Source organism: Homo sapiens, chromosome 12 (assembly GCF_000001405.40).
Source record: "Homo sapiens chromosome 12, GRCh38.p14 Primary Assembly".
Lineage (NCBI taxonomy): Eukaryota > Metazoa > Chordata > Mammalia > Primates > Hominidae > Homo > Homo sapiens.
In genome coordinates, this window is record NC_000012.12 from 50,016,825 (window position 1) to 50,039,269 (window position 22,445).

Genomic DNA, 22,445 nt, shown 5'->3' on the forward strand with positions numbered 1-22,445 from the left:
ATAACTACCATTATAAGAATCTCAAGCTAACAACAGATGTTTTGTGTGATTCTTATTATAAAAACAAACTTGGAATGTTTAAGACTCATCTGAAAATTAGAAAACCATTTCAGACCTTTGAATATAACAGCCCCTCCAATCACTTGGAGCAGAAAACAAATAGGAAAGAGCATGTCAGTTCATTAGCAAGTGACTGACCAACAAGAAAATGTGGTTCTTCAAGTCAAGCCTATTGATTAATATAATAATTTTGCCAGTTTATTCCTTGTGGGCTTTGAAGACCTACAATGTAACTTAAAATATCTATTTTTAATTTCATTTTTAGCTAATGCCCCTGTTGCAACTGCCTTTTAAAATGCAGGACATGGTCAGCACATTTCCTACCAAAAGCACAGATGACGTCACATGAGTGATTAAGTGGGAAAATCGCCAGCTCAGCAGCACAAGAATTATTTCTGTAATACAGGGCTCTCTGCTGGGCTGCGTGCAGGAACTACGTCTAATAAATTTATACTAAGTAGAGGCAAAGGATTATGTTGTACCACATTCTGGCATCAGAGAGACAATACAGCACCTTCACAGTTCGAAGGGCAAAGCAAAAATCATTTGCTACTGTGTCCTGTATAGTGAATTTCAGACTTTGTATTTCCCCTCAAAGGCCTGCTGATACTATAGAAAAAACAGTGTCGTTACAGGCGGTTCTATTCCAAATAGACTTTAACTGGGAACACTTTGAGGAAATAAGATCTTCACTTAACAGTCAAGAAAGAAAGACATTAACTGGATGTTATGAAAACTATCAAGGAAATGAAATAAAAAGTCAAATTTTATTAGAAATTTAATGTCCTCAGAAATACCATTAAAGGATTCTTGTGTTTCTCTTAACCAATGCTTCAACATTCTAGTCCAGGTCCTTATTTCCTAAATAAAATTTTAAGAACTCTTATGAAGGGTTAGTGATTTTGCAATGTTTACAAGATTGCACCACAAGCTATGAGAGCAAGAAAAAATATATAAAAAAGCACAAAGGACAAAGAATATATGAACATAGGCTGGGCACGGCAGCTCACGCCTGTAATCCCAGCACTTTGGGAGGCCCAGGCGGGCGGATCACTTGAGGTCAGGAGTTCGAGACTAGCCTGAGCCAACATGGCAAAACCCCGTCTCTTCTAAAAACACAAAAATTAGCTGGGCACAGTTATGTGTGCCTGTAATTCCAGCTACTTGGGAGGCTGAGGCAGGAGGATCGCTTGAACCTGGGAGGCAGAGGTTGTAGTAAGCTAAGATGGTGCCACTGCACTCCAGTCTGGGTGCCAGAGTAAGACTCTGTCTCAAAAAAAAAAAAAAAAGAATATATAAACATGAAGATATTTTATATATTAAATGCTGCAGAATTATACATTTATACTCATATGATAATTGCTATAATAGAAAAAAAGTTCTCAGTTCCAAGCCTGGATGCAACATATACCTGAATCAGGGCCGGAAACCAAGATTTTCAAACGGCAAGTATCTGTTCCAAGCTACATAATCACAGCAAGCTGCTAAGCAACCAGACCAACAAATTTATTACAAAGATCTTTCTCTAAACTAAGAACAAAACTAAAAGGATAGCATTAAAACCGGCAGGAAGAGCTGTGGAATTCATGGAGATGCCATGGATTTAACATATAATGAAATAGGCAACATACCCTAAGTGCTACAGGACAGAAACAGGGGCAGGACATTGGGTAGTCAATTCAAATGTTGATTTCCTTTGGCTCTCCTGAGGTAAAAATGGAAGACTCTAATCAGTAGTTTTAATATAAGGTATTACTTTCTATCATCTCGGCATTCACTTATATATCGTGAGACTATAAGACAGCTCAATACCACGGCAAAACTTCTATCTGTCCAAGAATTCAAAAAGGAAAATTTCATGGTGCTAGGATGTTGAAAACTGGTTGTTTAAAAAAAAGCTTTTTTAGGGGGGGTTTTAAGTCTTAAATTACAATATAACCTGTTCTCTTGTCCATTTTTTTTTTTTTAATTTTTTGAGACAGAATCTTGCTCTGTCCCCCAGGCCAGAGTCCACTGGCGCCACCTCAGCTGACTGCAACCTCTGCTTCCCAGGTTCAAGTGATTCTCCGGCCTCAGCCTCCTGACACTGTTCTACTCTTCCTGTTCATGTCCATCAACTACGCTACTCACTGACCTACCCTATCCCATACCCTACTGACTTCCAATTTTGATTTCCCTATTTTTATCATTCTCTCAGTCGCTCAGTTCCAAACTTCAGAATCACCTCTGGTTCCTCCCCTTCCCACAGCATAATCACTAAACCTTGTGTACTCTTCTCTCATGTATCTACCATACCCACCCCCTTATCACTTGCAGGTTGTCACCACTCACTTCAATTGCACTCCCTTCCTCCAGTCCTTCCCCTACTGCTTCAGGCAGTTGCCACTCAGATACAAACTCTTTGCACTTGAATTAAACTTTACCATATGATTCTGCCCTGTGTCCCAGCTAGAATATAAATTTGAGGGGAGAAACCTTACATGCGGCACTACTATATTACACACACAAGCATGTAGCATTTAATATGATGCTCACAAAAAAAAATTGATAAGTGTTAATTCAGAGAACAAACACACACATATCTGTGATGCTATGGTCAAAAGAATTTCCATTCTACCTCAACATCAACGTGTAATATAGTTTAAAGCAAAAAGAACAGTTAAAAGCGGGAGAGGGAGCAGAAGTCCTGGGACAAGATGGGTGTGGTGGTGCGTGCCTGTAGTCCCAGCTATTCAGGAGGCTGAAGTGGGAGGATCACTTGAGTCTAGGAGTTTGAGACCACCCTGATCATCACAAGACCCCCTTCTCTTAAAATAAATAAATAAATAAATAAATAAATAAAAAGGTCCTGGGACAAACCTTTAGCTCTTCTATCTACCAGTAGTATAATCTTCAGTAAATCACTTAAATTCCATGACTCATCTATAAAGTGAAAACAATAACACTTGCTCTATTTACCTCATAGAATATTACAAAAATTTTAAAATGTATAAGTTTACAATCTCACTACCAAAATATAAGGTATCTTTTAGTTGGTATGAAGTGAGTTTCTTTTGTTTAGGTTTGGTTTTGGTCTGATAGTTGTTACTTCCATCCTAAAACAGTGATTCTCAAATCTAGGTGTTTTCCCCCCTAGGCTGTCTCCAAATAAGGATATCAGTAAATTCAGAATTTTAGACCATTTTTAAAAATAATACTATACAATTAGAAAGAAAAGAATCCAGTATTTACTAGGTGCTTTGAAATGATTCGGGCACTAAACTAGACACTTCACGTACACTTTTTCTTTAAGTGAATTTGACTTTTTTTCTGAGACGGTGTCTTGCTCTGTCACCCAGGCTGGAGTGCAGTAGCACCATCTCGGTTCACCGCAACTTCCATTTTCAGGGTTCGAGTGATTCTCCTGCCTCAGCCTCCCGAGTAGCTGGGATTACAGGTGCCCACCACCAGGCCCAGCTAATTTTTTTTTTTGTATTTTTAGTAGAGATGGAGTTTCACCAAGTTGGTCAGGCTGGTCTCGAACTCCTGACCTCTAGCAATCTGCTTGCCTCGGCCTCCCAAAGTGCTGGGATTACAGGCGTGAGCCACCATGCCTGGCCTCACTAACTTAATTATCTCCATTTTACAGACAATGGGCAACTAAGTCCAGAAACCTTAAATTAACCAATAAATGTCGAGTTCTCATTGAAACCCAGGTCTGAGTCCAAAATCTATATTCTCTCCAACCCAACACATTGAAGAGATAAGTTACAAAAATATCAATTAGACCATATATGTTGCAGACCTACTCAGAGACCTCCTGCAAACCATAACATGTCATACAAACAGCAACACATATAAAACACAAATTATAGCTGGAACCCAGACCAAGAAGAATCAAGGAAACAGCAAAATTTGGCCAGGTCTAGGCTTTTAAACAAGCTGTTCTAGATGAGGTTTGCTGCTTCTGAAGAGTTATTTTTTCCTCTAACATAGATTTACTTAGGGTAATCCAAAAATGGCACTAGCAGAATATAATCCTCTTCTCTTTATATGCTAGGGGACCATATATTTTTATTAACATTCTACAGAAGTGACTCTCAGGAATTATTTATAGATGACAAAAATATCTTTCTATATCAGTACTAACTCTGATATCTCAGCCAAATTGTAACTCAAAAAGCTAAAATTTACTCACCCTATTCAACGTCAATTGAAAATAGTTGTAATTTTCCTGCTGGGTCACATTTTCACCCTCATGAATACTTGTTTATTTCCCCCCATGTATTATTTAGTCCATAGCTAGGAGATACACTAATGTGAAAGGAAACAAAAACAAAGTCATATTGTAGTACATTGCTTTTGCAGCTGTAAAACAGCTGTCACTTTCCACAACAGAGACTGCTGCCTTTTCGGGAAAGCTGAAACGATCCCTGCGTGCAGCAAGAAACTCAGTTTGTGGAGCACTTTAAACCAAAAGGTGCTAGAGAATCTCAGCTGTTATTGATGGGGAACCCCAGAGGTGGAGAAGTCAGTATGTTACAGATTCCCAATCTGTGAGTATCCCTAAGGGAGCAATCTGGAAACACCATGAAAGAGTCTCAGCTGGATGTGATTGCTTTGAGCCCCCAATTTAATTTCAATCACCCAGCCAAGAGGTAGATATCATCCTTCAGAAAAACAGACTATTACAGATCTTACTGCAGGGTATCCTGGGAAAAGTCTCTATCCTCTTCTTCCTCCTCCTTCAAACAACATTATTAAGAGACCTATATATCAGGTTTTTTAGATGCATCAAGGGTGTTAAATACTTTAAGACAAAGCAATGAAAGGTTGCTGGAGTTTTTCAGGAAAGTGTTTTAATGAAAAACTTTCCCACAAACATTGCTAAATCTGGAGATTTCCAAGAAATCAACAATATAGATTCCCTGCTGTCAAGGAAAACCATTCTCAAAGATAATCTCAGTACTTTAAGATCCTTTCATAGGAACACATTTGAGGACAATGTGAGGACAATTCTTTTCCTGAAATGTCCAGCTTCTGCTTCACTGTATCGAAAGTCTCTAATACAACTGGCGGACAGAAGGATTATCTTGAAACCAAATGTTCTTTATAAGCAAATCACTTGCAGAGAGTAAACAAAATGTTCTCAATCCAACATGAAGACTAAAATAAGGAAGGGAAGATTTGAATTGTGATTTTTCAGAAAATTACTAGAAGTTCAGCATACTGAATACCTCTTTTTTTCCCTGTGAATTCTTCCTATTCTGGTCTTCCATCCTTCAAGGTCTAGAATAAGTCTCACCAATTCACTGAAGCCTTCCCTAACCATTTCAGTCCAAAATGATTTCCTTTATTATCTATAACATTCATTTAGCAGATACAAAAATACTGTTTATTATTAATCTTCTATGTTCAAAAAGTTAACAGTAAAACAGGCTAGGTGTGGTGGCTCACGCCTGTAATCCCAGCACTTTGGGAGGCTGAAGCAGGTGGATGACCTTAGGTCGGCAGTTTGAGACCAGCCTGATCAACATGGAGAAACCCTGTCTCTACTAAAAATACAAAATTAGCCAGGCATGACGGTGCATGCCTGTAATCCCAGCTCCTCAGGAGGCTGAGGCAGGAGAATCGCTTGAACCCGAGAGGCAGAGGTTGCAGTGACCCAAGATGGCGCCATTGCACTCCAGCCCGGGCAACAAGAGTGAAACTCTGTCTCAAAAAAAAACAAAACGAAAACAAAAACAAAAAATTAATAGCAAAACAAAAATCTCACTATCCTAAACAACTATATGTACCATCTGATCTAATCTTTGCCCATTTTACACTCTTATTTCATGGTGTTACAATCATACATTACATATAATTTTGTGTTTTGCTTCTATCATGTTTCCATTAAGTTCTAAAGAGTTGATGAACAACTATTTAACTATTCTCTTCTTTGGACGTTTAGGTCATTTCCAGTTTTTCACTTACCTCTGCCTGGAATCTCTTGCATGGTCACTCTCTCACCTCAAATATCTTTACTCAAATGCTGCTTTCTCAGTGAGGTCTTTCCAACCATCCTATTGTAAACTGCAGCCTTTCTCTAACATTACCCTGCTTTACTTTGTTCCAAAGCACTTCTCTCCATCTAACATACTTACATATTTATTCAGTTTATTGTCTGTTTCTCCTCTAGCTTAAGTTCCAAGAAAGCGGAGATTTTTGTGTTTTCTTCCCTGATGCCTAGAACAGTACCTGACATTTGGTAAATGACTAATAAATATTTGGTGAATAAATGAATTGAGCATTCCTATGGACAATATTTTTCTTCAGGTGACTGTTTTCCTTAGACTAGATTTCCAAGGCTAGGAGTGCTATATTAGGGTGTAAAAACATTTTATGGCTCTTAATAGTGCCAAAAAGTTTTCTAAAAGGGATGTACTAATGCACAGTACTTTCAACAGTGTATAGGCTTACCAGACTCACCAGTTATCTTTTTAAGTTCTGTTACCCCAAATTAACTGCACATTCTTTAAGACCAAATAAGACTGTCTTCTACTTACACTTTGCACTTAAGAAATACCTATTGAATGAAAGTAAACAGGCCAGGCATGGTGGCTGACGCCTCTAATCCCATCATTTTGAGAGGCCAAGGCAGTCTGATCACTTGAGGCCAGAAGTTCAAGACCAGCCTGGCCAACATGGTGAAACCGTATCTCTATTAAAAATAAAAAATTAGCCAGGCATGGTGGTGCACACCTGTAATTCCAGCTACTCCGGAGGCTGAGGCAGAAGAATCATTTGAACCCGGGAGGCAGAGTTTGCAGTGAGCCAAGATCGCACCACTGCACTTCAGCCTGGACCACAGAGCAAGACTCCTTCTCAAAAAAGAAAAAGAAAAAGAAAAAAAAAGTAAACTAGTACAACCTTTATGGAAAACAGTATGGAGACTTCTCAAAGAACTAAAAATGGAACTACCATTCAATCCAGCAATCCCACTAATGGGTATAAGGGTAAGAAATCAGTATATCGGCCGGGCGTGGTGGCTCATGCCTGTAATCCCAGCACTTTGGGAGGCCGAGGTGGGCAGATCAGGAGGTCAGTAGATCAAGACCATCCTGGCTAAAACGGTGAAACCCCGTCTCTACTAAAAATACAAAAAATTAGCCGGGCGTGGTGACGGGCCCCTATAGTCCCAGCTACTCGGGAGGCTGAGGCAGGAGAATGGCGTGAATCCGGGAGGCGGAGCTTGCAGTGAGCCGAGATCGCGCCACTGCACTCCAGCCTGGGCGACACAGCGAGACTCCGTCTCAAAAAAAAAAAAGAAATCAGTATATCAAAAAGACCCCTGCATTGATATATTTATCACAGCAGAATTTACAGTAGCAAAGATACGGTATCAACCTAAGTGTTCATCAACGAAGGATTGGATAAAGAAAATGTAATATATAGACAGACATACACCACAGAATACTACTCAGCCATAAAAAAGAATGAAATCACGTCTTTTGCAGCAACATGGATAGAACTGGAGGCCATTATCCTCAGTGAAATAACTCAGAATGTCAAATACCGCATGTTCTCACTTATAAGTGAAAGCTAATCAATGGGTACACAGACATACAGAGTGGAATAATACACACTGGAGAATACAAAAGATGGGAAGGTGGAGGGGGCTGAGGGTTGAAAAACTACGTATTGGGTACAATGTTCACTATTTGAGTGATGGGGACACTAAGAGACCAGACCTCACCACGACGCGATATATGCATGTAAGAAATCTGCACTTGTACCCCCTAAATATACAAAAATTTTTTTAAGTCCCCTCCAAAAGATAAATACTTATTGAATGATTAAGCTACAGGAAAGGCGCCTTCTCTAAACACCTACAATAACTCGGAAAGCTTATTTACCCGACACATTAGAAAGATAATGCTTTCTTAAAAAAAAAAAGGGCTTATCTACCCACCTACCCCCACTTTCCGACACACACCTCTCGGCCTACGGATGAAATCCTGTGAAGAGAAATGTACGTGAAAGTGTACAAGTAAGGCCTCGTTGTTACTGAGGGTAAGAATCAGGATGAGAAGGACAAGATGTCATTGCCTTGCCTTGCCTCCCTAGACATACGAGACCCACGAAGTAGAGGGGCTCCACTGCAGGCCGCCCGGGCCTCTCAAACACCAGGGCTCTTCCCTTCGAAAACGATGGGGTGTCACTCCAACCACTCTTAAACTCGTATCTGACTGAGAGACTCTTGTTTAGGATGACTCCTGCCCTGGTCCAGCCACCACCTCAAAAAGACGCCCCCGGCTTTCCACAAAACCCGGCGCCAAGACAGAAGCCCCCGACCCTCCCAGGCCGCGTCCATTCGACCTGCCACGACCCCCACCCCAGAAAAGCCCGAGTGGAGAGGCTGTGGCTGCCAGCCTGTCCCGCTGTCCCGCTGTCCCGGACCCCCGCGGCGGCCACGGCTCACCACACGAACACTCTGCTTCCTATCACAATCCAGCGGCAGACGCACCTGGTCTGGCACCCCCACTACTCACTTCAGTCAGCCTGGCCCCACCTGGGCCACCCTTCACTTCGCTCCGCGCCTCACCCAACGGCAGAGCAGCGCCGCGCCCACAGCTCCGGTTTGAAAACCTTCACCAACCAATCACAGAGAAATTTATTCCTCCCGCGCCGTCCCTCTACGGTGTGACGTACGCGTCAGGGCCACGCGGAGGTGACGGGAACGGGAATGAGCATGCGCATTCTGACAAAGCGAAGCCAAAGGTGGCCATTTTGACTAATGTCAACGGTTTTTCGGTTTTTTTTGTTTTTTTTTGCGGTGCCCTTTCCGGAAGTCATTCAGGATGCCATATTGACTAAGGGCAAGTGGTACTTCCTGAATGCGAATTATTCTTGGTCTCACTGTCTGCGGGACTAGGGCCCTTGGAAACGATTAACTGAACAATGTCAGCTCTCACAGTAGAATCAGAAGAATACCAGGAGTTAGAACAGCAGTTAGTTTCAAGCACATTCACTGAGCTATATTATCCCTTCCATTGATGTATCCATTCAGACTTTTATTTGACACACATTGAATGAGCCCACATCATCACAAGCACTCCACTGGGAATCGGAAAAATAAAGATGGTATGGTCTCTACTGTCCAGTAGCTACGAATGGAGGCGATAGCTCTAGAAAACAAAAATAAATACAAAATGAAAATAAAATACTATAATTCCATTTAATAAACGTTATTTAGAACTTGGCATTGTGCTAGCACAGGAGCTTTCATGCTTTTTAAAAACTCTGGACCCACAGTGAGAAATACATTTTACGTTGCAACCGGGTAATGAAAACTCTGCTCATCCTTACTACATGCAAAGTACCCAGAACTCACTACTCAACAACGCATGGCTACCCGCAATTTGGAAAAATACTGGCTGGAGCATACAAGAAGCGCTGTGGTTTAAAGGAAAGATCACTTACTGTCACATTGGTCCTTAATTTAAAAAAAAAAAAAGAAAAGAAAGATCACAGATTTGGGGGAGGGAGATTAGGGAGATGTTGGTCAAGAGATATAAAATTTCAGTTAGAGGAAAATTTAGATCTATTGTACAACACAGTGACTGTAGTTAATAACAAAGTATAATGCATTTGAAAATTGCTAAGAGTAGATCTTAAATGCTCTCACCACACACCTCAATAAAGTATGTGAGGTAATGGATATATTAATTCGCTTGATTTAGTCATTCCACAGTGTATACATACATCAAAACATCACCATAAATATATAAAATTGTATTTTATCCAAAAATCACATCACAAATTTTGTAACCCGAAAATTTGACTCCACTTTTATTTTAGAGACAGGGTCTTACTCTGTCACGCAGGCTGGAGTGCAGTGGCACAATTATAGCTCACTGCAAATATGAACTCCTACACTCAAGGGATCCTCCCTCATACCTAGGACTACAGGCACATGATCAAGGTAATTCTTTTGCTTGTTTGTTTATCTTTTGTAGAGAAGGGTCTCACTATGTTGTCCAGGCTAGTCTTGAACTCCTGGCCTTAGGTGATCCTCCCACCTGAGCCTCCCAAAGCACTGGGATTACAGACAGTAGCACTCCACCTGGCCTTGAACAATAGCAGGCGTTCGGCTGACCCACCCATATTATCACTTTTTAATACTTCTGTACTTCACTTCCTCCAAGTATAATGTAGAAATAATAATCCCATCTCTATCTCACAGGTTTATTCCCAGATCGACTGAGACACAGTGTGGTACACTATCAAAGTTTATACTTGGTAAACTGCAATACAGATTATTATTAATATTATTAAGAAAGGGATGAAGAAAGAAAATATGAACTGTGCATTTGTTATCCCATTTAATCCTCCTAACAACCTTTCAAGGTCAGGAGCATTCATTGATTGCATTAGCCTGTGCCTGCTTAGATACCTATAATAAAATGAAATAAGTAGTAGGACAAAGACATGTATAAAGTACTTTAGGAGCACAGACAAGGAAGCAATTAATCCTATCTGGGGAGTGGGAGTGTTAAAAAAGCCTGCAGAGACTGATCTGAGCTGGGTCTTGTGTGAATAGGAATTTACAGGAGAGAAGGGAATGGAAAATTACTGGCAATAGGAAGATCATGTGACCTCTGAAGAATGAGGCAAGCATATATTTAATAAATACACAAGGCCAGGCACAGTGGCTCATGCCTGTAATCCCAGCACTTTGGGAAGCCGAGGCGGGTGGATCGTGAGGTCAGGAGTTCGAGACCAGCCTGGCCAACATAGTGAAACCGCATCTCTACTAAAAATACAAAAATTAGCCAGGCGTGGTGGCAGACGCCTGTAATCCCAGCTACTCGGGAGGCTGAGGCAAGAGAATCGCTTGAACCCGGGAGGCAGAGGTTGTGGTGAGCCGAGATCATGCCACTGCACTCCAGCCAGGGCAACAGGGCGTGACTCCATCTCAAATCAATCAATCAATCAATCAATCAATACACGAGAAAGCGTTTATGAAGGTTTAGGCTGTGAAGGAACATTTACCTCAACTTTCAGGTGATGTTGGGGGTTAAGTGAGTGTGATGCTTCTTGAGTAGCTTTGGCCTGAGAAGGAAAAGGAGAGACTGGCAAAGTAGGATGAGACCACACTAGGAACGGATTGGACTTGATCCTGTAACGGACTCAATGACAAGACAATGGGACTTGGACTGACTTGACTGATTTGTCTTTGGATAGAACATATGCTAACATGGCAAGCAGGATTGTCTGGAAAGGGAAAAATGTAAAGGTAGACTCTCTATTTAGGCCAGTGGCAGTGGGATGACAAGGAGGGGACAGGTGGGAAAGATATTTATGAAATCAATCAATGAAATGAAATGGACTTATTAAATGATTGGACCTCAGGGGTGAGGGAGAGAAGCAGGGGAGTGTAGAATGCCTCAGCTTTCTCTCTTTCCCTTACACCTCAATTACTGAGTGAAACTCCTAAGTACAGATCTCTTGTGTGTGCCCACTTTTCTCCTTCCCCCTGTCACTACCCTTGTCCAATCTGGTAGTCCAACCCCAGTGAAACTGTTTGCCCTCCCTTGCATTCTTTACTCCTCAAGTGATCTTTTAAAAATGCAATTATGGCTGGGCGAGGTGGCTTACGCCTGTAATCCCAGCCCTTTGGGAGGCCGAGGCCTGTGGATCTCTTGAGATCAGGAGTTCGAGACCAGCCTGGCCAACATGGTGAAAACCCGTCTCTACTAAAAATGCGAAAAAAATTAGCCAAGTGTGCTGGTGGATGCCTGTAATCCCAGCTACTTGGGAGGCTGAGGCAGGAGAATTGGTCGAACCTGGGAGGCACAGGTCGCGGTGAGCTGAGATCATGCCATTGCACCCCAGCCTGGGTGACAGAGAAAGACTCTGTCTCAAAAAAATAAAAATAAAAATGCAATTATGGCCGGGCACAGTGGCTCACACTTGTAATCTCAGCACTTTGGGAGGCCAGGGCAGGCAGATCACCTGAGGTCAGGAGTTCAAGACCAGCCTGGCCAACATGGTGAAACCCTGTCTCTACTAACAACACAAAAGTTAGGCCGGGCACAGTGGCTCATGCCTGTATTCCCAGCACTTTGGGAGGCCGAGGTGGGCAGATCACGAGGTCAAGAGATCGAGACCATCTTGGCCAACATGGTGAAACCCTGTCTCTACTAAAATACAAAAAATTAGCCAGGCGTGGCGGCGTGCGCCTGTAGTCCCAGCTACTCAGGAGGCTGAGGCAGGAGAATGGCTTGAACCTGGGAGGCAGAGGTTGCAGTGACCCGAGATCGCGCCACTGCACTCCAGCCTGGGCGACAAAGTGAGACTCCATCTCAAAAAAAAAAAAAAAAAAATTAGCTGGGCATGGTGGTCTGCACGCCTATAGTCCCAGCTACTCAGGAGGCTGAGGCAGAAAAATCACTTGAACCCGGCAGGCAGAGGTTGCAGTGAGCTGAGATCGCGCCACTGCACACCAGCCTGGCAACAGAGCAAGACTCCATCTCAAAAACAAACAAACAAACAAACAAACAAACAAAAAACAGCAGCCGGGCATGGTGGTGTGTGCTTGTAATCCCAGCTACTCGAGAGGCTGAGTCAGGAGAATCGCTCTTGAACCCGGGAGACGGAGGTTGCAGTGAACCGAGATTGTGCCACTGCCCTCCAGCCTGGGTGACAGTGCGAGTCTCTGTCTCAAAAAATAAAATTTAATTTAATTAAAAAAAAATTTGAGGGCTGGGCACGGTGGCTCACGCCTGTAATCCCAGAACTTTGGGAGGCCGAGGTGGGCAGATCACGAGGTCAGGAGATCATGACCATCCTGGTTAACATGGTGAAACCCCATCTCTACTAAAAATACAAAAAATTAGCTGGGCGTGGTGGCGGGCGCCTGTAGTCCCAGCTACTCGGGAGGCTGAGGCAGGAGAATTGCTTGAACCTGGGAAGTGGAGGTTGCAGTGAGCTGAGATTGCGCCACTGCACTCCAGCCTGGGCAACAGAGCGAGACTCCGTCTCAAAAAAAATAAATAAATAAAAATTAAAATGCAATTCTACTACAGAAATGATGACTATGTGAAGTGATGCATAGCTTAATTAATGAGCTAGATTTGGCCAGACAAGCTGTGGCTCATGCCTGTAATCCCAGTGCTTTGGGAGGCTGAGACGACAGGATCACTGGAGGCCCGGAGTTCAAGACCATCCTGGGGAATATATCGAGACCTCCTCTCTACAAAAAACTGAAAAATTAGGCTCCTGTGCCTATGGAGTAGCCACTCATTTATTCCTTTACTTTCTTAACAAACTTGCTTTCATTTAAAACAAACAAACTAGCTGAATGTAGTGGGCTTGGCTAGTCCAGCTACTTGCAAGCCTGAGGCAGGAGGATCACTTGAGCCCAGGGGTTCAAGGCTGCAGTGAGCTATGATTGCACCACTGCACTCCAGCCTGAGTGACAGAGCAAGACCTTGTCTCAAAAAAAAAAAAAAAAAAGCAGCTATATTTAATCATTCCATAATATATGTACAGTCTGAGAGCACGTGGTAGCTCACACCTGTAATCCCAGCACTTTGGGAGGCTGAGAAGGGTGGATCACTTGAGGCCAGGAGTTTGAAAACAGCCTGCCCAACATGGTGAAGCCCTGTCTCTACTAAAAAATACAAAAATCAGTCGGGCGTCGTGGCACATGCCTATAATCCCAGCTACTCAGGAGGCTGAGGCAGGAGAATTGCTTGAACTCAGAAGGCAGAGGTTGCAGTAACCCGCGATTGCGCCACTGCACTCCAGACTGGGCGACAGAGTGAAACTCTGTCTCAGAAACAAAACAAAACAAAAACCATAATATATATACATTATACTTCAAAACATCATGTTGTACATGATAAATATGTTCAATTTTATGTCTTTTGTGTGTGTGTGTGTGTGAGACGGAGTTTTGCTCTTTCACCCAGGCTGGAGTGCAATGGCGTGATCTCGGCCCACTGCAACCTCCGCCTCCCAGTTTCAAGAGATTCTCCTGCCTCAGCCTCCAGAGTAGCTGGGATTACAGGCGCCCACCACCATGCCTGGCTACTTTTTGTATTTTTAGTAGAGATGGGGTTTCACCATGTTGGCCAGGCTGGTCTCAAACTGGTGACCTCAGGTGATCCATCTGCCTTGGTCTCCCAAAGTGCTAGGATTACAGACGCCACCGCGCCCGGCCAATTTTTAAAAATAAACTTGAAAAAAAATGTTAAAGTAAAAATGTGATTCTAATCATATATCTCCCTTGCTTAAAATCCTTAATGACTTCAACTTGCCTTCTAATAAAGACTAAAATTCTGCCGTGCGCGGTGGCTCACACCTGTAATCCCAGCACTTTGGGAGGCTGAGGCAGGCGGATCATTTGAGGTCAGGAGTTCAAGACCAGCCTGGCCAACATGGTGAAACCCCGTCTCTACTAAAAATACAAAAAAATTAGCCGGCCATTGTGGTGTGTGCCTGTAATCCCAGCTACTCAGGAGACTGAGGCAGGAGAATTGCTTGAACCTGGGAGGTGGAGGCTGCAGTGAGCCGAGATTGCACCACTGAACTCCAGCCTGGGCAACAGAGCAAGACTCCATCTCAAAAAAAAAAAAAAAAAAAAAAGACCAAAATCCTTTACAAGGCCCTCCTAGGCTGCTTTTGCTCGCCCTTCTAGCTGCACTGCCCAACCCTCGTTTGCAGTTCCTCCACGCACCTGGCTACCATTTCCACCTGGGGCCTTCAACCTTCCCTGTGCGCCAGCACTCTCCGGAACTTCCCGAACTTCCAGTGCCTCTTCACCAGGATAAGTTCTACTCACCCTCTAGACAGTTTAAACTTAAACGCTGATGCCTGGGTCCGTGCCTTTGGCATAAACTCCCGCAGCACTGTGTTCTCTCCCTTTCATACTCCTGATTTGTTTAGGCTTCCTGGTTCTTCCAGTCACTGTTACACGGCCTTTCACAGGTCAGCTGTGGCTTGACTTGCTCATCTATAAATGGAAATAATAATAATAATAATACTGCACTTTGGGAGGCCAAGGAGGGTGGATCACAAGGTCAGGAGTTCAAGACCAGCCTGGCCAACATGATGAAACCCCATCGCTACTAAAAATACAAAAATTAGCCTGGTGTGGTGGCACGTGCCTGTAGTCCCAGCTACTTGGGAGGCTGAGGCAGGAGAATTGCTTAACCTGGGAGGCAGAGGTTGCAGTGAGCCAAGATTGTGTCACAGCACTCCAGCCTGGGTGACACAGCGAGACTCTGTCTCAAAAATAAATAATAATAATAATAATAATAGTTATTTCCTAGGGTTGTCGAGAGGAATAAATGAGTTATCCTTATAAAACACTTAGCACAGTTCCTGGCCCACTGTAAACACTCTGCAATGCCTATTTTCCCTACTAGACTATGAACTTCCAGAGAAGAAGGGATGGTACTCCTTCCATGTACTAGTCTTGCTTTTGCAGCTCCAATAAATAGCTGTGTAATGGAGGTGAGTTAAGTTCAATAGGACGGTGTCCCAAATAATGGATGGGGGTTGGAGATGCTGTCTCTCTTACACCTGCCTCTACCCAAAATACCACCCACCCTTCCAATTCCTCTCAATCTCCTTCCCTGCTGCACCCGCCCCAGCGAGAAGGCAGCAAAGGAAAAGGTGAGTGTGTGTGTGTGTGTGTGTGTGTGTGTGTGAAGCGGGGTGGCGTGGGGGCGCGGGTTCCTAACTCCCTTTCTTCCCAAACTGTAGCTTCCAGAGTAGGGAGGGATCCTGGGGCTGCACTTGTAACCGGAGAAGCTTGAGAGCTTTGAGAGCTGGTGCCAGAAAGCTTGGGTTCGATTCCCCGCTCTGCCACCTAGGAGAGGTGCAGTATCCGGTTATTTAATCTCCCATGTCCGGCGAGACGCGCGCTCTGAGTGCTTCCGAGGTGCGGGAGAGGTCAGGCTGGAACGCGCCTGTTATCCCGCGCGGGGGCGGCAAGCGGGGGCGCCCCCCTCCCACGCGCTCCCCCGCGCCCAGGCACCAATGATGGGGTTGGTGCTGATAGGTGGTTGCGGGTGACCTCCCGAGCGCGCCCGTACCCCACCGGCCCTCACCTCCCCAGGGGCGGCCGCCTGATCCGATGTCCCGACAGGCGAACTGTCATCGACGATCCCTGGACGCGGGCGTCGGGGGCAGGGAGGCTTGGCTAGGTCCCTGGCTGCCAACCGTCTGGCCACAGCCCGATGCGTGTCTTCATTCTCTCGCCTTCGCTGGGTTCCGCCTCCCATGGCCTTCTCACTTGCCCTCTGGAGGTCTGGCTCCCTACCTCCCATCCAGGATTATCGTTCCCCCTGTGAATTACACCAAGAAGCTTTGAGCCCTTCTGCCTTCCAGGCTGTGCGCTAAGCCCAGGGGCGGGGGTGGGGCGATGCGGGGTGCAAGGCCAGGGCCTGCAGCGCAGAGTGCGGAGGTGGGGGCTGTGTTCTGGGGGTCCAGGGAGGGAGGGCCCACCTCTGGCTGGGACTCAAGACTGTCAAAGAAGAGACCTCTGAGCTGAGCTTTGAAGGATGAATAGGACCCCAACAGGGAGGAGGCTGGGGACTGAAGTAGGCAGGAAGTGCTGAGAGAAATAGGGAAGTCAGTCCAGCCTGACTGGAGTGAGAGGATCTTGGCTGGGGGGCGGGTAAGGCTGGGAGGACTTTTTTTTTTTTTTTTTTTTTTTTTTTGAGACAGTGTCTCGCTCTCTTTCCCAGCCTGGAGTGCAGTGGCGCGATCTCGGCTTTCTGGAACCTCCACCTCCCAGGTTCAAGCGATTTTCCCACCTCAGCCTCCTGAGTACCTGAGATTACAGGCGCGCACCACCACGCCCAGCTAATTTTTGTGTTTTTAGTAGAAATGGAGTTTCACCATGTTGGCCAGGCTGGTCTCAAACTCCTGACCTCAGGTGATCCTCCCATCTTGGCCTCCCAAAGTGCTGGGATTACAGGCCTGAGCCATCACACCCCACAGGCTGGAAGGACTTTTGAGAGCAGAGCTGAGGTACCTTGAATGACAGGCCAGATAAATTCAGTGTAATTCCTGAGGGACTAGTGAGCCATTGAAGGTTTTCTTCCTATTTCTCTAAGAGAAACAATAAGCACAGTGGGTAAACACACAGGCCTGGAGTTATTTTGGCCCTGGGTGAAGGTCTACTTCCACCATTTATGACCTGTGTAGTGGGCAACTTAACTTCTCTGTCCCTCCATTTCCACATCTATTAAATGGGGATGATAATAATAGTGTAAAGCACTGTTGGGAGCAATAAATGGGTGTTTGCAAAGCTCTTAGCACAGTGCCTGCCACATAGTAACTCCATGAGTATTACTTATAATTATTTTGTATCCCTCTGTCTTCCTCTCTGTAGAAAGTAAAAAGTTCCTCTTCAAAGTTTCCCTTCTTGTTAAAAAAATAATGTTAGAAATAATAGTTTATTTTAAAGACTAACTTGCTTTAAGCCTCCTTATTTTATGGTAATAACTCTTTGTTGGGCCCTATCCTATGTAGCTGTTAAACACACTCACAGGCATATAGTACATTCTATGTCCTTGTACCTTAAACCAAAATATTTGTGCTGGACATGCTCACAGGCAGGTACCAGCTCGCAGCCTATGCCCCTTCCCTGTTTGGCATAAGCAACTTCCTCTTTTCCTTTATCCTTCCATTACTTTTACCTATTTAGAAAAGTTTTAAACTGCTAGCCAATCGGGTTTTAAATTGTGCAGTCTGGCTCCAGCCAATGGAGACAAGACAGTAGCAGGGAAAAACTGCATAAGGAATAAAAATTGCTTCCCTCTTTTGTTCAAATGTGCTCTTGCCATTGTTCCATCTGCGATGAGCACCCTTTCTGCAGAAAGTAAAAACGGCTTTGCTAAGAGAATTAAATTTATGTTTAAGTGCTGTTTCTCTGTGACACCAGGGAACAAGCATTTTATTTCTAAATAAGCATTTACATATAACATTCTCTGTTTCTTTCCCCTTTTTTTTTGATGTTCTCTCTCTCTCTCATCAAAAAAAAAAAAAAAAATCAAAAACAATGTTTCCCTGCCCCATGCCTAGGAATCACCCTTTCACACTCAATAAAGTGTTGAACTAAATCAAACTGTAATAGACAAAGCAAGACTCTGTTTCAAAAAATACAAAACAAAACAAACCACCCACAAAACAACAATAACAACAAAACTCTAATAGGAACAAATAGAAACAAGTCCCCCTTTAGAAACACGCCTGTGTCTCTCCTGGGTGTCCAGGCTCTGGGGAGCCCTGCTTGGAGGAGGGGATATAGTTATTGACATGCTGAACTCATCTCTACTAGAGTCCAACCTCTTTGAAAACAGAGACCGCCGGGCACGATGGCTCACGCCTGTAATCCCAACACTTTATGAGGCCGAGGCAGGTGGATCACCTGAGGTCGGGAGTTCGAGACCAGCCTGGCCAACATGGAGAAACCCTGTCTCTACTAAAAATACAAAATTAGCCAGGGATGGTGGCACATGCCTGTTATCCCAGCTACTCAGGAGGCTGAGGCAGGAGAATCGCTTGAACCCAGGAGGCAGAGGTTGCAGTGAGCTGAGATTGCACCATTGCACTCCAGCCTGGGCAACAAGGGCAAAACTCCATCTCAAAAAAAAAATTTAATTAATTAAAAAACAAAAACAGAGACCATAGGCCGGGTGTGGTGGCTCATGCCTGTTATCTCAGCACTTTGGGAGGCCAAGGTTGGCAGATCAACTGAGGTCAGGAGCTCAAGACCAGCCTGGCCAACATGGCAAAACCCCATCTCTACTAAAAACACAAAAATTAGCTGGGCATGGTGGCATACGCCTGTAATCCTAGCCCCTCGGATGGCTGAGCCAGGAGAATCACTTGAACTCGGGGGGCGGAGGTTGCAGTGAGCCAAGATCGCCCCACTACACTTCAGCCTGGGTGACAGGGCAAGACTCTGTCTCAAAAAAAAAAAAAAAAAAAAAAAAAAAACAGAGACCGTAGCTTATTCACCCCAGCCTGTCCCCTGCCGAACAATGTGTCTGACTCACAGTAAGTCCCTGTTCTATACCAGTGCTTCTCAAACCTTAGCGTGCATCAAAATCCCCTGGAGAGCTTGGTAACATACAGATTGCTGGGACCCATCATGGAGTTCCTCATTCCATCCGTCTTCCATGGGCCCCAAGAATTTTCATTTTGAATGCATTCCTAGATGATGCTGATGTTGCAGATCTGGGAACCACATTTGGAACCACCGCTCTATAACAACATGTTGAATGGCTGTATCTGAGACGGTAAAGTAGCCTCACCGTCCCCTTCCCAAGCTCAGCTGGTCATCAGCATTGAAAATACAGGTCCAAAGCTGAGAATCATGAGGTGTAGGACTCAGAGATTTTCCAAAAATCATCTTCCCAGGTGATTCTTATGTGCAAATAGGTTTGGTATTCTACTGCCACGCACAGTCCTGTACTCTGCCCGCCTCAGCTAACTCCTGCTTCAAGCAAAGCCCACTGCCTGTCTGCACTTTATTCAGGGCACACCTTGCTGCTCTGGGTTCAAGATGGCTGGAACTATAGAGGAATGGGCTGCCAAGAGTGAGAGGAAGTAGCTGGTTCTAAAAAGCAGACCAGAGATTTACGTAAATTGTAACAAGTGCCACTTCTACTAACTGTTAATTCTGAAAGACAAGCCAGGAGCTAGTTCTCCCTAGTCTGACCTGGAGTCAAATTCAGCTCTCTTCCTCCCTATTAAACTTCCCTCCGTTTCTGTTACACTCTGCTTCTTTTACCTCCAGTGTGAAATGAGAATAACATAACCTACTTCACAGGGTTGAGCTGAAGATTAAATAAGAGGTTATGGGGCCAGGCACAGTGGCTCACGCCTATAATCCCAGCACTTTGGGAGGCTGAGGCAGGCGGATCACCTGAAGTCGGGGGTTCGAGACCAGCCTGACCAACATGGAGAAATCCTGTCTCTACTAAAAATACAAAATTAGCCAGGCATGGTAGCGCATGCCTGTAATCCCAGCTACTCAGGAGGCTGAGGCAGGAGAATCGCTTGAACCCAGGAGGCAGAGGTTGCAGTGAGCTGAGATCACAGCACTGCACTCAGGAGAATTGCTTGAGCCCGGGAGGCAGAGGTTGCAGTGAGCTGAGATTGGGCGACAGAGCGAGACTCCATCTCAAAAATAAATAAATAAATAAATAATAGCAAAGTGACTGGGGAAAGGAACTTGGCATCCATAACCTTTTTTTTCTTTTCTTTTCTTTTTTTGAGACAGAGTCTCACTCTGTCGCTCAGGCTGGAGTGCGATATCAGCTCACTGCAACCTCCACCTCCTGGGTTCAAGCGATTCTCCGGCCTCAGCCTACCGAGTAGCTGGGATTACAGGCATGTGCCACCATGCCCAGCTAATTTTTGTATTTTAGTAGAGACGGGGTTTCACCATGTTGGCCAGGCTGGTCTCAAACTCTTGACCTCGTGATTCGCCTGCCTCGGCCTCCCAAAGTGCTAGGATTACAGGCGTGAAGCCACCACACCCAGCCATCACTTTGCTATTTACCAAAACTTCTATACATATTTAATTGGGTTTTTACAACAGTCATGAGGAGTAAGAAAGACATTATGGTTCACTCTCATTTTACCATTGAGAAAGCTGAGTCTCAGAGAGGTTAAGTGACTTGCCTAGACAGGTGGATCACCTGAGGTCCGGAGTTTGAGACCAGCCTGACCAACATGGTGAAACTCCGTCTCTATTAAAAATACAAAATTATCTGGGCATGAGGGCAGGCGCCTGTAATCCCAGCTACTCGGGAGGCTGAGGCAAGGGAATCGCTTGAACCTGGGAGGCAGAGGTTGCAGTGAGTCAAGGTCCTGCCACTGCACTCCAGACTGGGCAACAGAGCAAGACTCCGTCTCAAAAAAAAAAAAAAAGTCATTTAATCTCTAGGCAAGTAATTTTTTTTCTTTTTTTTTCTTTTTTTTTTCGAGACAGAGTCTCACTCTGTCGCCCAGGCTGGAGTCCAGTGGCACAATCTCAGCTCACTGCAATCTCCGCCTCCTGGGTTCAAGCGATTCTCCTGCCTCAGCCTCCCGAGTAGCTGGGATTACAGGCGCCTGCCACTACGCCCAGTTAATTTTTTGTATTTTTAGTAGAGACGGGGTTTCACCATGTTGGCCAGGCTTGTCTCGAGCTCCTAACCTTATGATTCGCCCGCCTCGGCCTCCCAAAGTGCTGGGATTGCAGGCGTGAGCCATTGCCCCTAGCCGAGGTTAAATGACTCTTAACCTAGAGGTTAAAATGACCTGCACAGTCTGGGTATATAGGGGAAGGGGCTTTAAGCAGAGCTGGTTGCTCCTCTCCCCTCATCCTTGTATTTGTTCTTTTGACATCTCCTTCCCATAGGTCATTCTTTATGGGCATATCTTACCTGAATCTGAATGGTAAGGAAATAAGGTGGGGTTCCCTGCCCCTGTTGGAGACAGCCCTGTTCTGCTGCCCCCTCCTCCGAGCCCTGTCTGCACCTTCCTCCCTATTTAAGCCCCTGCGGTCCCTTTGACAAGCATCTATCTTGAATTCAAATTCTGGCACAACTTCTCTAGCTGTGTGAATTTTATCAGGTTCCTTCCCCTTTCTAGGCCTCATCTGTTACATAAGAAGAATATAGATCTGTGGTTCCCTAACTGTAGAAACCTTGGAGTGATCAGGAGAGACTCAGCCCCTGGCCTCCATAAAGACTGAGTAGCCCATCTGTGTGTAACTGACTGTGTAACTGTGTGATTGCTGGGAGACGAGATCCAAATGAGCTTTAATGATGCGATCCAGAACTCAATCATCATGTATTTTCTCAGTCAAAAGATAACAAAAGTACAGCTATTGCCATATGGTCATGGTCAGGGAAATTTTTTTGGAAATAGAAAGGTTATGCTGGGTTCTATAAGTTACCCAGAAGAATTAAAAATAAAAAATAAATAAAAAATTTAAAAGGTTGGGCCAGGCATGGTGGCTCACGCCTGTAATCCCAATGCTTTCAGAGGCTGAGGCAGGAGGATCGCTTGAGGCCAGGTATTCCATCGCAGCATAGTGAGATCCCATCACTGCAAAAAAATTTTAATTATTATTATTGAGACAGAGTCTTGCTCTGTCGCCCAGGCTGGAGTGCAATGGCGGGATCTCGGCTCACTGCAACCCCTGCCTTCCGGGTTCAAGCGATTCTCCTGCCTCAGCCTCTGCGTAGCTGGGATTACAGGCAAGTGCTATCATGCCCGGTGAATTTTGTGTTTTGAGTAGAGATGGGTTTCACCATGTTGGCCAGGCTGGTCTGGAACTCCTCAGCTCAAGCGCTCCGCCCACCTCAGCCTCCCAAAGTGCTGGGATTACTGGGTGGGGTGAG

General features: G+C 44.7%; 1 protein-coding gene across 29 annotated transcripts in view, besides 2 other annotated features; it reads right to left on the reverse strand.

The window, feature by feature from the left end:
• The window catches only part of RACGAP1 (Rac GTPase activating protein 1), a 44,279-nt gene extending 27,663 nt beyond the window's left edge, over positions 1-16,616 (reverse strand). For 5 of the 29 annotated variants that reach the window (NM_001320005.2, XM_017019224.2, NM_001320003.2 and 2 more), the window contains exon 1: positions 8,574-8,670. Coding sequence is in view for 7 of the 29 variants with exons in the window: in XM_024448958.2 (XP_024304726.1) it covers positions 14,873-14,925 (53 nt within the window). In the remaining 22 variants the exon portion in view is untranslated. Of the gene's footprint in view, positions 1-1,691; positions 1,766-2,919; positions 2,983-4,237; positions 4,354-8,503; positions 8,671-14,872; positions 15,044-16,145; positions 16,383-16,542 lie in introns of those variants that run through there. The other 24 variants (XM_017019225.3, XM_006719359.2, XM_017019222.2 and 21 more) reach the window with 14 other exon arrangements.
• Positions 8,533-8,622: an enhancer, noted in NCBI's record as "active region_6338". NCBI's record gives its function as "activates an Ori minimal core promoter by ATAC-STARR-seq in GM12878 lymphoblastoid cells {active_cell/tissue: GM12878}" and the evidence as "EXISTENCE:reporter gene assay evidence [ECO:0000049][PMID:35858748]".
• Positions 10,482-10,776: an enhancer, noted in NCBI's record as "tiled region #11175; HepG2 Activating DNase matched - State 9:DNaseU". NCBI's record gives its function as "activates a minimal TATA promoter and a strong SV40 promoter by Sharpr-MPRA in HepG2 cells {active_cell/tissue: HepG2}" and the evidence as "EXISTENCE:reporter gene assay evidence [ECO:0000049][PMID:27701403]".
• Positions 16,617-22,445: the final 5,829 nt, after the last annotated feature.